Genomic DNA, 18,684 nt, shown 5'->3' on the forward strand with positions numbered 1-18,684 from the left:
GGTAGTTTTGCCTTTCTTCGACCGTATTTAACAAGCACTGTGGCCAGAATGATATATTTAACATGCAAATCAGAACCTCGGCTTCTTGGGCTTAAAATTCTTAGATGGCTTCCCATTGTCCTTAGGATCACATCCAAAATGCTTAATATGGTCTATGAAGCCCAGTGTGATCCAATTCTCTTCTATCTGTGTAGCATCATCTCCCACCAGACTCCCTCTTTATCACTTACTTCATCTACTCTAGCCTTCTTTTGGCTTCCTGAGTATGCACAACTTCTTCGTAACTGAGGGACTTCAAACCTGACATTTCTACCCGCTGCCTGAGACTTTTTTTCTCATGATTTCTCCTCCTCTGCTGCCCTCCTACCAGCTACTCCCAACCCTCTACTTCAATTCACCCTTCAGGTCTCAGCTGAGATTTAAGCTGTTCAACTAGGTTTCTGTTTCCTGTTTGACGCTATCAAAGGACTCTGCATTTTGCTTTCGTAGAATGTATTAATGCATTGTTTACATAGTTGTTTTGCTTACTGTAAGCTCCCTAAGGACAGGGTCTAGGTCTACCTCAGCATCATTGAACCACCAGCACGTAGCTCAGGATGTGGCATACAGAAGTCTCTCTTACTGAATGTTCTGAATGAATGAAGAAAAGAGACTGAACTTGTGACCAGGGATGCACAAGTGGTATGTAAAACTCCAGTGAGAGTGGCTCATGCCTGTAATCCCAGCACTTTGGGAGGCCAAGGCGGGTGGACCACTTGAAGTTAGGAGTTTGAGACGAGCCTGGCCAACATGGTGAAACCCCATCTCTTCTAAAAATACAAAACATTAGCCAGGCATGGTGGCAGTTGCCTGTAATCCCAGCTATGCAGCAGGCTGAGGCAGGAGAATCACTTGAACCAGGAGGTGGAGGTTGCAGTGCGCCGAGATCATGCCACTGCACTCCAGCCTGAGGCAGGAGAATCACTTGAACCAGGAGGTGGAGGTTGCAGTGCGCCAAGATCATGCCACTGCACTCCAGCCTGGGCAACAAGAGCGAAACTCTGTCTGAAAACAAAAACAAAAACAAAACAAAAACAAAAAACTCCAGTGACAGCCAATAGTGAGTAAAAGTTTTACTGTGCAGATGAAGGGCAAGAGTGGAGTCAGATGTTGTGACTCACATTGGACGGGGATTCAAGGAAAAGAAGTACTTGGGCAAGATATTAGAATAGGTGCTTGTGAGGCAGATGTGAGAGAGAGTGTTCCAGACAGCAGGAAAAGGGGCAGGCAGTGCCCAGCGTGGGCAGTCTTTTATGCTATGGCAAATACTTTGGCCTTTAGCTTATCAGTGGTACGGCAGGACAGAGAAGTTTTAAATCTGGAGATGATGTAATTTTATTATCATTACATTTGTGCTTCAGAGACATCTCTATGGAAGCAGAATACAAAATGGGAAGGATAAAGAATTGTGACAGAGAGGATGGTTAAGAAATGTTGGTATTAGCCCGGGTAAGAGATGAAGCAAAAACAAATATCATTATAGAAAATAATATTTTAATATTTCCAGCTTTCTTGAAGTTGGGACATAAACATGTGACCTGGACTCAACCAACAGATGTCACTCACCAGAGAGTTTGAATTGAGGACTAGTGACTGAAAGAACAGAAGCAATTAGGGATCAGTTCATTCATTGACTCATTTGTTCAACAAATGTGTATTGAATACTTTATCTATGCCAGGCACTTTTCAAGTTACTGAATCTGTAGCAGAGAACAAAGCTGACTAAAATCTCTGCCCCGTGGAGTTTACATTCTATAGCAGGCAGAAAATAAACAGGTAAATGAGTGAACTATATAGTATGTCAGATGCTGTTAACTAATATTTTATTTAAAAAAAATAAAAGCCAGCATCATGGATTAGAATATGTTGGAGGAGGGGGCAGATGGTAAGGGTAGACAGTTTTAAATAGTGTGATCCCTGAAGGTCTTGCTGAAAAGGTGACATATGAGCAAAGACCTAAAGCAAGTTGGGAGACAAGCCATGTGGCTATCTGGGGGAAGAATGTTCCAAGAAGAGAAAACATTTAGATGGTGGTTACATCAGCATCTCCCAGGATGCAGTTCTCCAAGGTCACCAGCAGTTTTGGTGCCAGCAGCCATGTCTCTACCCAATGGCAGCAAGTCGCAGCTGTGGCACAGGGCCCCTTCAGCAGTGATGCCCTCACCAAATGGTTCTGTGATATAATGCTGGCTGTAGTTCTGGTTCCTTCTGGCCTCTCTTTTTCTGCTTGTTTTTAGAACTTGGTTCTCCAGCTTTCCTAGTGATTTTCTAAGTACCCTAAAATCCTTTCACTAAATTCCTATTCTTACGTCAGCCAGGAATGGTTAACTAAGAACCCTGATGAGTTCCAGTGAGTTCCCAATCCTCAGGGAGCTGAGATCTCTGAGGTTAAGAGGACACCTCTATCCCACTTCCCTTACCCACAGCTCTAGTTCATGGTGGCATAAGAGATTTTCAGCTTCTATGTCATGCTACCAGCTGCCCTGCCCAGAAGAAATGGAATCACACATGCATTTCTAAGAATGAGCAGGTAGAATTATAGACTTGAGAGGAAAATGGGAATACAAAGGGCTTCCTTTGAAAACCATGCTTTCGTGTCAGAATAAGGAAAGACAAAAGAGACCCAGTTAAGATATATGGGTAAAGTGTCTTAGCACCTGAATTGAGATAATGGCACAAGAGTCTAAGCACCATGGCCATGCAAAGAAAGGAGAAAATGGTGGGGGTGAGGCATCTGCATCCATTAGGGAATGCATATTTTCTCAATTTTGAGTTGCATTGTTTTTTCATATTTTATTTTATTTTATTTTATTTGAGACAGAGCCTCACTTTGTCACCCAGACTGGAGTGCAGTTGCACAGTCTCGGCTCACCACAACGTCCACCTCCTAGGCTCAAGCGATTTTCCTGCCTCAGCCTCCCGAGTAGCTAGGACTACAGACATGCGTCACTACCACCTGGCTAATTTTTTTTTTTATTTTTAGTAGAGACAGGGTTTCACCATGTTGGCCAGGCTGGTCTCAAACTCCTGACCTCAAATGATCCACCCACCTCGGCCTCCCAAAGTGCTGGATTTACAAGTGTGAGCCACTGTGCCTGGCATGCTTTTTCATATTTTAGTAGCACTGAAACTGATATGCATTTTACCACCAATTGTACATGTAATATAGTGTCTTCCCTAAATTTTCAAAAATCTGTTATTAAATCTATGGTGCATCCTGCAATGGACAGCACTAGGAAATGAGCAAAATATGAATAGATAGCATCTTAGATCAGGGAGGCTCTCTGTGGCTTATATTCCTTTCCTAGTTAGCACACATACAGCTTATCTTCCAGAACATGATGTAAGAATACGGGAAATGCCAGTAGTGAATATGCAGCAAGCTCATTTCTGAACACTTTCACTCCCTAGTTACACAGGGATAACTCTGATACTGAGGCTTACTGCTGGTATAAGGCCACTTACAAGACAGCGTAGGGACAACTCCACAGAAACAGCTGTTTACTAAAAACACACCAAGTAACTTAGAAATTCCTTGCTCCTGGGGTGATGAGGACATCTAGTTCAAAGGAATAAAGAGAAACTCACTGGGGAAGCAAAATCATCATATGAACTGTAGTAGGAGCAAATCTGATACTGTGATGGGCTCCAGGTAAGCAAAATAATGACAATGGTAGTATAGAATGTAAAATGTTTTAATATGACATCCACCACAGTAAGTCACTAGGCTCACAAGAGCACAGAGCACATTCCAGGAATCAGAGACATAGACGTCTGACAGAAATGTGTTTAATATAGTTGCTGCTTTGACATCCATTTCTAGGCCTGACATAAAGTTATTTGAAACCCGGTCATACTCCATCTCCTTTGGCCCCTTCCCATATGATTGTTTGAGATGTAGCTCACTTGTCACCAACCCAAAACTAAAACATTGCACAGCTGCTGACCATGATAAAACCTAATGCTCAACACCAGAGTCGTATAAGTGGGTTTCCCCCTTCATTAGTGTTTTATTTAAGCTAGCCAATCCACACCCCTAAAGGAAAGCCTAAGGAATGACACCTGCAGACTGTTATAAAGGCATAGTCCTCTCTCTCTCTCACTTGATCTCCACTGGCTGATTGAGCTCCTTTCTCCCTCCAGACTTCCCACTGGGTTCCAGCCGGCACACCCAACCTCTTCAGGACCTGTGAGTAATAAATTTATTTTGTTTTATGCATGTTGGTTTTACCTCCTCTTTGTGTCTCACCTGACACACACACCTGAACCTTCCTTCCTTCCCATTAGGGCTCTCCTAGACAGTGATTATCTTGGCACATTGCCACGGTCAAGAGCGACACCTCAAGACCAAATTAGAAACAGTCACAATAGCTTCACTTCTGTCAATGGTTCAGCCTGAGCAACAGGCATAAACTTCATTTTTCTTCACCTGATACTCTCTGATTCAACACCCTACATTTCTGCCAGGCTTGTGTGGTCTCTTTAGAATGGCCATACTCTAAAAAAATTGCAAATGGAACTGCAAATCCACTACCTGTGTGTCTTCGGACCAGCCATGTCACTTTTGGATTTCTCACTTATGAGATGCAGTAATTGCCAGTTGCTCTCCCAAGCCTAAAGTACAATGCCTTTTACCACAGTTATTGATGAACACTTATCTGAATTAAAAGGAACTTAGCATCTTCTTAACTGAGGTTGAAGTGTGCTGGTGCCTTCTGTTTGTTTCCTGGTTACTGTCTCCATCTCGGCAACCAATATAAGAGGGTGGGATGAGTGGCATCTACTCACTGTCTGTATTCATTTACTGTATAAAAAACGTCCACAATGTCTCATAGGCACACAACGATCTGCATTTATTTAGCTTATGTCTGGGGATGGTAAGTGTTGGCTGGTCCTGTCCTGACCTGACCTGTCCTGAAGTGACTCTGCCCCACATGCCTCTCATCCTCCTCCTGGACCAGAAGGCTCACTTGGGCACGTTCTTCCGGCACTGGTAGAGTGCCAGAGATGAAGGTCAGTTGTGCAAGTGCTTTTCAAGCCTTCAATCAGATCACACTCCTTATATTCTATTGCTTGAAGCAAGCCATATGGTCAACGCCAAAGTCAAGGTACAGACAAGCACCCTGCATCCTGGAGGTGGGGAGTGAAGGAGGGCACCTTTGCCTCATTGCCAAGCAATGACTGGTCCCAAAGTGTGTCATCAGGGGATTGCCAGGTTCTGAGTACCACTTGGTTCTGACTTACTGGACTGCTCTGACCCTGGTTTCTGGTTTTAATTCCAGTCACTAAAACAGATGTTAGTGTCCACTAGGAACTCAAATTTTCTGAGCCCTTAGTATAGGTCAGACCCTATGTTATATATTGCATATTTGTTATTACATACAGTCACCTATAGCCAGCCATACCTACAGATGAATCAAGTAATTATCCTCAATTTTAGTGAAGAAAATAACACTCAGAGTGGATCAGTACCTCCAGGCACTCTTTCAGGTGTCTTGGGAGTATACAAAGTTGAGTAAGAGTTCATGCCACACACCCTCACGGAGCTTGCTGCTCTACTACTTGCTGATTGTCCACTTTAAATAAAATTCCTAACTTCCTATATCCTTAACTGTCCAAGCCTTGGCTACTAGAGCTGTATTTTTCTGATTTGTCATCCACTATAGTCCTGAAATGATCCTTCAAAAGACTGTAACCAGCTGAAATATAGCAGGCTGCTCAATATGTTCACATAGTTATTAGATTTATTTCTTATCCAAACTAGAAGGAACTAAGAGGCTTCATGCAGAAGCGTGCCGATACCTTCTAGCCTCACTAAGAAGCCATTGGAAGAATCTGCTTCCTAGCCACTGTTAGCTTTCTTCACCTATGAAGCCAATCTTAGAGAGTAGGATAAATGATATCTACTCACTGTTTTTGTTTACTGCTTAACAAACAACCACATCATCTCAGAGGCACACAACAATCGGCATTTAAGCGTATGTTTCGGGGGTAGACTTTGGAACCGGACCAATCTAAGTGTGAATATTGGTTGGCCTGTCTCCTCATCAGAAAAGTAAAACTATTAACACCTCCCCTACCATGTTAGTATAAAGATTACCTGGGGATACACTACATAAATGTACCTAATACAGACCCTGCCATACTAAATATTTATAGGTTCCTCTCTCTCCTTCTTTCCCAAGAAATTTGGTCATCAGCAGTTGCATCTTCAGCCACATATAAATCCCTGAATTAGACTTTTCAGGACAAAAGAAATAATGTAACAACTTATGATGTTTTATGGAGCTTTCATTTGAGTAAAACATATATATATATATATATATGACACCTATAGGATGAATCTTGGATTTGTACGTGTGGATTAGAAAGGCAGGAGTGCATTGGGGGAAATGGCACTGAACTAATAAGTTCCTGTCTGTGATTTGACCTGCTCTGCGCCTGACTAGCTGCATATTCATGTCAATTTCCTCCCAGTTACCTAGGGCAAGAAATGAAGAGGAAAGATCTTTAATCATTTTTTTATTCTAATTGAAACATTTTCCTTGCAAGTGGAGAGAGAACAGGTGCCTAACGAGCCCACATGATGATTCACAAGGTAGTAGGTATCGCCACAGATATAATTAAACTGGAAGATCAATGAAAATTTCCTTTTTGGACTGCTGCCAGGTCACACAGACAAGGATCCAGCTAGCTGTATTTATGCACAGCAATATCCAGAAGTGTGTACTCACACAGGTGTGCCCTGCAATATTGTATCATGATAAATTAAACAGCCACAGACTCGCACATCCAGTATTACTTATTTAGAAAAACACCTCGATTTCTCTGTGCAGTTAATGATGCTGGACTACAAACATTGTCTGTCAGGAAGGCAGACAATTGCTGCATCTTATCAAATCTCACTGTCCTTTTTCCTTTATTATGTTTTTCATTTCTTTATATAAAACAATCACATAAATAAGAACTGCCCTGGAGGATCAAGACCTGAAAGAAAGGGAAGAAGGGGAGAGAAATGGAGGGAGGGAAGGAGGAAGAGAGCCAGCAGGGGATTGAAGCATTGCAAATAAGTGGGCTTTCCTTTGTAGCGCCAGAAAGTTGTAATGCATTTACTTCAGGATGTCTAACCTCTCTGGGTCTCAGGATTCTCAGACTCTCTCAGCCTATAAATAAGCCTATTCCAATCTTGACTGTACAGAGTTCTTCTGGTAAAGGCGGCAAGGGAAGAACTCAGGGGAGGGACTGGCGTTTGAGACTGGCCACGGTGCGAATTTTGCAGGACTGAGAATTTTCATAACCTCATATTCTTTGAAATTTCTCCGTAGAAATGAGAAAAAATAGTCATCCTGACAGTCTTTTCAGTTGTTTTGTAACAAGACTGTAATTGAAAAAGAATCACTCCTAGCGTTAGATACCAAACATGTTGTTAGTTCCACAAAACAGAGGTTAGTTTGATGCCTAAAGCTCATAGGAAGATCAGTGCTTTGCATATATTTCAGTTAAGAAAAGAATGCAAATTATAATTCAAATACTGTATTGCCCACTCATAGTTTGCAAAAGAAAAGGAGAGTTAAAAAGAATATAAATTGTTTCATTAGGTCCTTACAGATAACTCTAGGTAAACATACCTGTTTTCATCAGACGAGGCTAACTACTGTAACACTTTCAAATTTCAGTGGCTTAATGGAATCACAGTTTGCTCCCATTCACACAAGGTCTAATTTGGATGTTCCCATTTGGGCAAATCTCCTTCAGGCAGTGAAGTTAGAGATCCAGGCTCCTGCCAATGTGAGGCTTAACCAACTCAGAGACCTTCAAAGTCATTTGCAGAAGGTGGAAGATCACATGGAGCATTTTATGGCCAGGCCTGGAAGTGACCCACATTCCATTGGTCAGGACTTAGTCATATGGTATCATGTAGATGCAATGGTTGCTGGGAACTGTAGTCTTCCTGTGTGAGCACAGGAGCAACCCAGAGCACTGTCTCTGCTATACTTCCGTTTTCCAGATGAGGAAAGTAAGGCTCAATAAGTGGATCTGATTTGTTCAGAATGAATCAGTGGCAGAGGCAGGACTAAAAGTCATGTCACCTCACTCTATCTTTTTTCTTTTATATCTCATTGTTTCCTAGGGTCTTTGCAGAGGTGCAGCAAGGCTTCAGTTTTCTTAAGAAGGATCTGTAACCACAAGGAAGAAACTTCTTCCTAGAATTCAATGTCGGCTTTTTGTACCCTTATCAGAGGAAATGTCTAGAGAAAATTTCAAATCTAATTAATGGGTTTATTTAATTCATTAAGATTTTTCCTAAATGATTTCTCAGATAGTTGTCCTGACTTCTGGAAAGGTCACGCATTCATCAAGAATGATGAATTCCTTTTGATCTTTCATAACATCTAATAGTGCAAGGCATGTGGTCATTGACGGATAAATATTGTTGCCAGCCATGGTAATACTGTTTCTTAAAAAGGTATCTATGTGAAAATGATAAGAAAAACAAATAACATTCTGATAAAAGGGTAGGCAGTCATTCCATGTAGTCATCAATGTTAGGCATAGTTCTAGGTTCTCAGGATGAGGTAGAGGAAATGTTTGCCAAAAGCTCAGTTGGTATCTGTAGCCTAAACTTAAGGTTCTCTAAAGCCTGAATCTGTGCAATACATGGACATGTTAACTACTCCTACTTTCCCTTCTTGTATCTGTAAAAAAGATGTGGCAGCAATAATCTCAGATCTCTCTGAGCTGTTAGGCAAATGGTCGTAGAGTGAGTAGAAATGCAGAATGATAGGAAATAAAACACCCAGTGATAAACTTTTAAGGAAGGCAGGTTAATGGGGCAAGTATGTGGAGGGCAACCTGCCTGGCTTCAACAGGTCATTATGTATCCTTTCTTCAGAAGAGCTTGTGTTTGCGTTGCTGCTTCTGAAAATAGGGTAACAGTGATGGAAAATGCAGGGCAGCGCTAAAGAAAGGGTTTAAGGTAGCCATAGTTACATGAGATGAGTTCACTGAGATTTATGTCATTATTGTAACAAACCACTGAAGGAATTTATAATGATGAGATCATTATAAAGGATTCTAAATATGCAGTTAACTGGACATTATGACATCATCTCTCACAGTTTATTCAACTTAGACAAATGTCTGCACCTTTAGGCACAACTAGATCTTCTCTTTTCTTTTTATAAAGAAAATGTTTTTTATTCGTTTGTGTACAGAAAGCCTCAAGATCCTTCCAGCTTTGTCATTCAAAGAACATGGAATACTCAAATGGGTACTTCCTCAATAACTGTCCCTCAGGCTACACAGAAGTGATAATCAACGAGACACCTGTTATTCCTTTTGCACAATTATGTCAAAGTTTTATCCCACTAGGACTCTTAACCAGATCCTGTTATAAGCACAACATCGCCCCTGATACCTCTGTTTGCCCTGAGCTTACAGCCTTTGCATTTTCTGTGTATGTTTTAATCTTCTAGATAGCAAACTCCTTAAGCAAAGGGACTATGTGTTACTCAGCCCTTTATCTCACATGCCTTCCCCAGAGATTGGCTCATACTACATGCTCAGTAAGTATTTGAGAATGAATGATGATGGTTTTCGAATGAGAACAGTGTCTGTGCATGGGTATGTATTTTTCTGTGCCCAACATCCCTTTGAAGAAGTGAGGGTAATGTTCCTGATCAGGGGCCAGCAAACTTTTTCTGTAAAGGAGCACATAGTGAATATTTTAAAGTTCGTGGGCCATATAGTCTCTGTGGAAACTGCTCAGCTACGCTGCCGTAACACAAAAACAGCCATCAACAATATGGAAACAAGTGGGTGTGCTGTATTCCAAGAAAACTTTCTTTATGGGCGCTGAAACTTGAATTTCATACAATTTCCACACATCACACAATACTCCTCTTCTTCAGATTTTTAAAAAAACATTTAAAAATGTAAATACCATCATTGGCTTGCAAGATATACAAAAACAGGTGGTGGGCCATTTGGCCCAGGGGCCACAGTTTGCTGACTTCTGAACTGGATCATGGGGTTGCTGGCACTGGTCTCAGTGGTGGGATTTACTAATTATAGAAAGCTGCTTTCTGAAATCTTCTCCGTTTTCTTAGCGAATTCATAAGTGCTTTAGTCGGTCCAATTCCTAAGAGGGGAATTACTATTTTGTCTGACTGCTATCTTGAAGGGCACTCTAATGAATTAAGGTTATGGAATTGTTGGGCAAGATGTACCACCTTACGATTAAAGAGTTATGATTAAAATATTAAAATGGAAGAATAAAATATAATTCATGATTTATTGCAAATCATCTTAGATACTTTTAGAAATCAATAACCCATGTCATCATTCTCATTTTCCCTGTGACATTCATTTATTTCACAAAGCAAGCATCCTCAATAATAGGAAATGATGCCAGACCACATGCATGGGTCAAGCTAAATATGCACCCCAAATTCTGGCACTATTGTGAGACATGATGAAAAACAAATACATCTACTTGTATAATTTTAGAAATCAAGTTTAGATTTTAATATAATGTTAATATTTATTATAAAATACATCACCCTGATGATAATTTTGCTACACAAAATATGCACACAAAAACAGTAATTTAAGCAAATATACACAACAATAATACAAAAAAATCACGGCTGAGCACAGTGGCTCACGCCTGTAATCCCAACACTTTGGGAGGTTGAGGCGGGCAGATCACTTGAGGTCAGGAGTTTGAGACCAGCCTGGCCAACATGGCCATGAACTAAAAATACAAAAATTAGCTGGGCATGGTGGCACGTGCCTGTAATCCCAGCTACTGAGGAGGCTGAGGCAGGAGAATTGCTTGAACCGGGAAGTAGAGGTTGCAGTGAGCTGAGATTGTGCCATTGCATTCCAGCCTAGGTGAAGAAGCAGGACTCCATCTCAAAAAAAAAAAAAAAAAAAAATCACAACATAACACCTTTACTTTAAGGCCGCCTACTTTTACACACAGTTATTTGTTGAATGTAGGTGGGAATCAGACTGTGTTCTTTACCTGCTGTCATTTTGGAGAGAATGCTTGTGAAAGAGGGTTGATTTACAAGGAAAATGCATAACAATTCCTATGCAAATCTACTTCCCAAAAAAGGTTTTAGTTGCTAAAAGTGTAGGCTATAGATTCAGACAGTCCCAGGTTCAAATCCTGACCTTATCACCTATCAACTGTGTGACCTATTAACTTAAGTTGCTTACCCTCTCTGAGCTTCAACTTCTTCACCTAAGAAATGGGAACACTACTAATAATTGCGGGTACCAGTGAGTTAATGTGCGCAAAGTACACTACACAGTTCCTGCTCCTCTGCAGTAAGCAGTCAACAAATAGCAGTTGCTATTATTAGTACATTTGTCATTAGCAAAAATAGAGACTTTGGTGCAGCGAAGTAACACACTTTTCAATGGTATAATGAATTTCAAATATAAAGCCATGTTGAAGTTCTGAGGAATGCTTTCTCTTGCCTGGGTTTGGGAGATGGTAATGGTGTACATGCATCTCTGTTAGATCTGCTTAAACACAGGCATCATTGTGCCTTGGTTTTCATGGTGGCTGTGTTTTGGTTGCATTGTGGGCTCTGGTCATGTTCTCTGCAATTTTCACTGCATTTATGCAACTTCCCCTTACCTAATATTTTGGAATTCCATCTTAATTTTATTTTTCTCATTCTTATTCCCTTCTGCTTATTTTACGGGCTCATTATAATTTATCAAATTCTTACGTATTCAAAAGCCTCTGATTTCCAATTCTTTTTAATCAAGATGTTGCTCATCTACTTAAGTCAATGTGCTGAGTAAACCAGTAAATGGATACTTACAAATCCTTATCCCTTAGTGTTTAGGTGTACAAAACCCAGGATACCAAAAAGTCATGGGCTCAAGGGAAGATATGAAGGCTTATTTATAACACAGGATGCACTCAAGGCTGCAGAGTGTGATTCAAAAGGCATAGGATTAGGAGTCAGAGTTTACTTGGATTTGGGGATTTTCTCAGCCAGCACAAACTGTAGAAATCTCAGGAAGTCATTCAGTCTCTCTAAATTGACTGTATTGGCCAGTAAATAGGGAATGATTATGATACTTAGGTTATGTAGTTTAATATAATTAACAATGAATATAATAATCACTTTGTAAAGTATAAGTCACCATGCATAGTGCTACAAGGTTACCACTATCATGATTTTCATTATTTACCACACATGTGCACGTATCTAGAAGATTATCCTTTAGGAAAGAATTTGTGATAGAAAGAGTCTAGTTTTGCCTCTGATACTAACCTGGTATGTAACTTTGGATAAGTCTTTCATTTACTTAAGTACTAATTTCCATATCTACAAAATAGATACTCATCAATGTCCTTTCTAGGTATAAAAGGTTGGGGTTTCACTAATACCAGGAAATAGGCACGGAGAAACAGGCTGACTAGAGTCTTGAAAAGCAGAAGTAGTGAATATGTGATTCTGTAGTCAATGAGGCTACTGTAAATGTGGAAGTTGAAAGATGGCAGGGAGAAAGTGACTCCAGAGGAGATTCACTGGGTAACAGGGTGCACAATGGGCTCAAGGAAATGTTGGCTAACACAGAGCCCACATGGTTCCAAAAGTAGTAAGACTGAAGTGCACGCAGAGCACCTGAAGGAGACAGGAAGTCACTGTTGTGCATCGCCTTGCATAAAGTGACAAAGGACTGGCCCAGGGTGTCCTTCACGTAAGTGAAAAAGGAAAGAAATAGAGTAGGTTCAGGAATTACAGCCTCCTGAATGGGCTTCATGCCACTCTCCTTCCTCTCTAGTCCATCCACCACATTACCACCAGAGGGACCCTAAACTCAAATATGGCCCTCCCCCTTGCAGGATTCAAAAGCTCTGATTGCTTCTTATTATCTACAGAGTAAAATCCAACACTCTGCCCCCACCTTATGCTTATAGGGTTGTTACTATATATATGGTCTACTGTCAGTCCTCAGCCTCATGAGTGGCTTCTCTTTCCTAAGACCAAACCATGCTGAACTTGCCGTCTTTGTTTTCTTCATAGCTCAGTGTCTTTGCATATGCTGTTCCTCTACCAGTAATATCCTCATGCAATTCCCTACTTGGAGAGTTTCTTCTTTTCCTTTCAGACTCAGCTTAAATATTATCTTCATGGTTCAAAACTGCATTATGCATTTGACGTACGTTTTTTAAAACAGGTGTTTGCATGTCTGCTTCTCTACTCGCATGTGAGCTTCTGGAAATGAGCCCATGTTTTATAGTACCAGTATGTACTTTGTTAATATTTTGTAAACTTTATTAATAGCTAATTAAAATAATCCAAAGGATAAAGATTAGGGGGCATCTGACAAGAACAGAGAAGTACAGGACTTGTTAGAATATAAACAGATAATACCTAAGAAAGAACAAATTTGAACTTAACAAAATTATAAACACAGTGGATAGGATAGATATGGACATCTTTACCAATTAAATGATTTATGCAGTAAATAGTAAATGTCTCTTATGAACCAGGTGTTCAGGGTACAGAAGCAAACAAAGCTGACTTAGCATGTTCCATCAGTTCCAATACCAGTATCCCAGGAGTGTGGTGAGCAAGGGGAAGATGGAAGAGAAAGAGGGCTTGTAAGTTATGGTGAGAATTTATTTCTATCGCAAGTGCAGTAGAAAGCCTTTGCTTTAAAATTTTAAACAAATCTTAATGATGAGATGATTTTGTTGAAATTTTGAGGGAGTCACTCTGGCTCCTCTATGGAGATCAGACAAGCGTATAAGTATGGATACCAGTTAGGAGGCCAATACATTAGACCGGGTGATAAATAATATTGATCAGAATCACCTGGAGGGCTCTTAAAACACAGATTTCTAGACCCCACCCCTAGAGTTTTTGATTCTGTAGGTCTTGTGAATATGCAGGTGCAATGGGCGCATGGGGTGGGCAGAGAATCTTTGTGTCTAACAAGTTCCCAGGTGGTGCTGATGCCTCTGATCTGGAGGCCACACCCTGAGAACCACTGGCCTCTATTATGGCGATGGCAATGAAGTTGGAACAAAGTGGGCTGATTTGAGAAAAACTCTGAAGATAAGATTAAAAGGGCATGCTGATGTACCAATACTAGAGAATATTAGGACAAAGCATTTTCCTTTAAAACATGTAGGAGATGAAATACTACAAAATTTTAGGAAAAGAAGTATCTGTCATATGAAACTTGAATGAGGTTAAATAAGAAAGAAAAACAAAACAAAACAAAAGAAATACCCTTCACGTAGTAGGCAATAAATGTTTGAATATCATTTACTCTCCCCTTCACACTGACTAGTAAAAGCAAATGGTTTCCTAAAGTGTTTGAAATAATTGTAAATTTCATTACCAAAAGCAGCTTCTAAAATGTAGGATCTTGGGGATGGTTGAATAAGAGAAGATAACTATGCTTTTTCATTGTCAGAGCTTTGGGGTGTCAAAGGAAAAAGGAGAAATGAAGTGGTATAAACAAGTGTAAAGCCTGCCCATTCACCTGCCCAGATTAGCTCTTCTGTTTTAACACCCAATACTGTATCCATCTCTCTCCTGGAATGGACTCCTTACCATAGCAGCCCTCTCTCCACATGTGCACCCTACAAGTCCATTTAAAAAACAAACAAGAACTCTGCATGCCAGTACCTTGGGGACCCTGCCCAAGCCCTGCCTCCTGATTTACCTTGGTATCTCCAATTTCTGCCCTATTAGCTACCATATTTCTGCCTCTTTGTCCAGCTCCATTATGAATTGTGTCCTTCAAACATTTGTATTTTGAAATCCTTAGAATGTAACTTTATTTGGAAATAGAGTCATTGCAGACGTAACTAGTTAAATTAAAATAAGGTCATTAGGGTGGGTCGTAATCTAATATGACTGGTGTCCTTATGAAAAGGAGATATTTGGACACAAAGATATACACACAGGGAGGTCATCATATGAAGACAAAGGCAGAGATCAGGATGATTCTTCCACAAGACAAGAGCTCCAGTGATTGCCAGCACACCCCCAGAAGCCAGGGGAGAGACCTGGACCACATTCTCCCTGAACGCCCTCAGAAGGAACCAACCCAACGACACGTTGATTCCAGACTGCAGCATTCCAGAACTGTGAGACAATACATTTCTGTTGTTTAAGCCACTTTCTCAGCGGTACTTTATTACAGCAGCCCTGGGGAAGTAATCAAGTGCCTTTTGATGATTGCTTTAGTTGAACTGTCCACTCAGCTCTTAACTCTGCCCTCTTTGTCTCTCAGATCTGCTTCTCTTCTATGCTCAGTGGGTGAATGCGGACCCTTCCATAGTACAGACCAGGCCCTCTGGGACCCCAACCAGGGCTCAATGCCCTGGATTCCCAGCTTTCCAAATATGGGGTTCTGACACTCATTCCCATCGGACAGTTGCCTCCTTAGGAGTCTGTCCTGTTTTATTATTCATCTTTGGGTCCTATCAATTATCACAGTGCCCATCTCATAGCCAGTCGGTTTGTTGAATGAATAATACAATTAACGAACTAGTCATTATTTATTTTTTCCCTTTGATAAACAAAAAACTCGAGGCCTTTTGACCTTCATGCTGGTGTATTTTTGTCAATACAATGAGTGGTTTATTTGAGAAGCGTCTGTTTTTGGATCACATTACTCAGTAAATGTGTATTCTTAATGAAAGTGATCAGTGCAGATCAAGCTGACATTAACACTAAAGATATGTAGGATTGCTTTGGTGTGCAAATGGAAATGGTTTGGTGCCGGGGGATAATGAATACATGAGAATTAGGACTGCGTTATTAAACTGAGGGGATGAAACTTGTCATTAGTTCCCACTGCTTCTTGGAGTTATTGTTAATAGCTATTTGAGTGAGGAGACGGGAACATGTGGAGAAGAGGATGTGGAGAAACAAATGTGTAGATAACGTCTGCTCGCTGAGATATGTGATGTTTGGAATTGATCATCCTGCAGTTTTCGCTGAGATGCTAGTGATTTTGAACTGATCTGTTTTCCCAAACTCAATCAGAGGTGCGAGCAGCTGACAACCCTGCAGATTCCTCCTGTTGTCTGCACAAGACTTTGATTTCCAATGAAATGCAAAGTCCACATGCTACATTTGGGGGCCAGATCCCAAAGAATGATGATCTTTGTTTATCCAGGGAGGAGTTGCTCATGGAAAGGATGCCGATAAAAATTACCAAACTGTCTTAAGTCTTTTTGAGGAACTATAATGGAATGCTGGGTGGCTTATACACTTTAGAAATTTATTTCTCACTCTTCTGGAGGCTGAAATGTCCAAGATCAAGGCCCTTGCAGATTCAACGTCTACAGAGGACCCACTTCGTTATAAGACCATCTTCTCACTGTCACCTTACACTGTAGAAGGGCTAGTTCACTGTCTTTTATAAGGACACTAATCCCAATCACAAGGTCTCTGCCTTCATGACCTAGTCACCTCCCAAAGACTCTACCTCCTAATATTGTCACCTTCAGGGTTAAAATGTCAACATATGAATTTTGGGACAGAGACATTCACATCACAGCACAGACCAAAGCATTTTTGAGAAGGAGGCATTATTTATACTTAAGTAGGGACAACAGTATAACCTGTGTTGTTCCCGGGCATACTGGAGAAAACCATCACCCTACTGATGAACCACCCAAAGTCCTATTAAAATTTGATCAACCCCCATTCCATGTGGTTTCAATCAGCCTTAACCAAGAAACATCTCTGCCAAGGTCTGCTCTTGTGTTTCTAGAACTTCATACATAAGAACATTTCTCCATGAAAACCCAACATAACATTATGGTCTATGTAGTTTTATGACATGGCCCAAATTTTCAAAATTGTTATTATTATTAATTTTTTTTTTGAGATGGAGTCTTGCTCTGTCTTCCAGGCTAGAGTGCAGTGGCGCGATCTAGGCTCACTTCAAGCTACACCTCCTGGGTTCATGCCATTCTCCTGCCTCAGCCTCCCGATTAGCTGGGACTACAGGCGCCCGCCACCACGCCCAGCTAATTTTTTTTTGTATTTTTAGTAGAGAGGGGGTTTCACTGTGTTAGTCAGGATGGTCTCGATCTCCTGACCTCATGATCCGCCCGCCTCGGCCTCCCAAATTGCTGGGATTACAGGCGTGAGCCACCGTGCCCGGCCTCAAAATTATTTTTAACTTCCTTGAATTTTAAAAAATTGAATTATAAAGCTATGCTACCATCCCCCCTCTCCACAACACACACCACAGACAGTTTGAACAAATAGGCAGAGAAGAAAATAGGCTTGACTACTCATTAATAGATATCCAAAATTCAACTCAAAAGGGTAGAATAGCCGGGAAGCACAAAAAGCTCATGGAAGTAGTGGAGTAAAAATTGGTGTGACATTTGGAATAAAACAGCTTGAGTTTGAATCCCAGCTTGGCCTTTTCTAGGTGGGTGATGCTGACAAGGTCATTTCATATCTCTCAAGCACTTTTTCTCATCTGAGAAATGGGGTAAATATATACAAGATTTTTTGTCAGGATTGAATAAAATAATGCAGAGAAAATGCCGAGCACAGGACTTGACACATAAATGTTCAATTGATAGTAGCTGCTGTTGCTGTATCACACACTGATTTTTACTACCAACCAAACTATGCTTATTTTAAAAGAACATTTTTATGTAATGATTCTAATACATTTTTGAACATTTATATTCCACCCTACCTCCAAAATACTGAAGTTTGTTGATATGTTTCATGATGCACCAAATGACTGTAAGTAAAAAATCAGAAATTTTGGCAAATGTGAAAGAAAAACCAAAAAGATTTATCAGGAAATATGCCTTATTGCCTGTGATGTATTTTGTAAGCCAGACATAGTAAAACTAAATTATCTCTGGAAATTGCAGTATAGCAAAAACTGATTAGAATTTAGGTCAAAGAAAAATCAGTGAATGAGTCTTCCAAATGATCATTACAGCTATAAAGGTATTTTTCTCCCAACCAAACCACAGATGTAGGAAACAAATTATTGAGCTGTTGGTTTCTATGATCTGAAGTCTCCATCGTGAGTCTTTACCATGAAGCTTCTAATATTCAGTAATGTGGAAACCTGCACACTGTTGCCCATGAGTGGTTACATAAGAGTGCCACCTACGGGCAAGGGGTAATGCATCATGGCATAGTAACTAATTTTTAAAAATCATTTTTATGTATTTATCCTGACAATTCTTTCTCAAGTGAGAATCGAATCAGAAAATGACTCTTCCCACAACCAGAAACGGAGCATGCATTGCAATGTAACTTTACATAAACTGTAAATGGAACAGTCTAGTCAGTTAGTAGCTTGGTGACTCTGGGAGTGAAGCTGCATTTGACAAAGGGCAGCTTGCCTGAAGAAAGCAAAGCCCAGATAGGAGAGTAGAAAGATGCAAGGGGAGTGAAGGGGATAAGAGCTAGATATCTGCAGAAGGGGAAATAAGACTTTTGATAGAATGAAGGAGAACAGTGAGTAGGAAGGGAGAAACTGGCATAGGGCCACCCATAGTAGAAGGGATGAAGGGTAAGGGATGTGACCACAGCTGTCATGGGGAAGGGGCAAAAAGAGAAGACCACACAGTATCTCCAAGAATATGCATATGTTGTG

At 40.6% G+C, this 18,684-nt stretch overlaps 1 long non-coding RNA gene across 1 annotated transcript in view; it reads left to right on the top strand.

The window, feature by feature from the left end:
* The window catches only part of LOC105375951 (uncharacterized), a 261,361-nt gene that overhangs the window by 13,348 nt on the left and 229,329 nt on the right, over positions 1-18,684 (top strand). Inside the window, exon 2 of the long non-coding RNA XR_001746599.1 lies at positions 4,183-4,228. This is a non-coding gene — a long non-coding RNA (uncharacterized LOC105375951). The remainder of the gene's footprint in view (positions 1-4,182; positions 4,229-18,684) is intronic.

Source organism: Homo sapiens, chromosome 9 (genome assembly GCF_000001405.40).
Source record: "Homo sapiens chromosome 9, GRCh38.p14 Primary Assembly".
Taxonomy (NCBI): domain Eukaryota; kingdom Metazoa; phylum Chordata; class Mammalia; order Primates; family Hominidae; genus Homo; species Homo sapiens.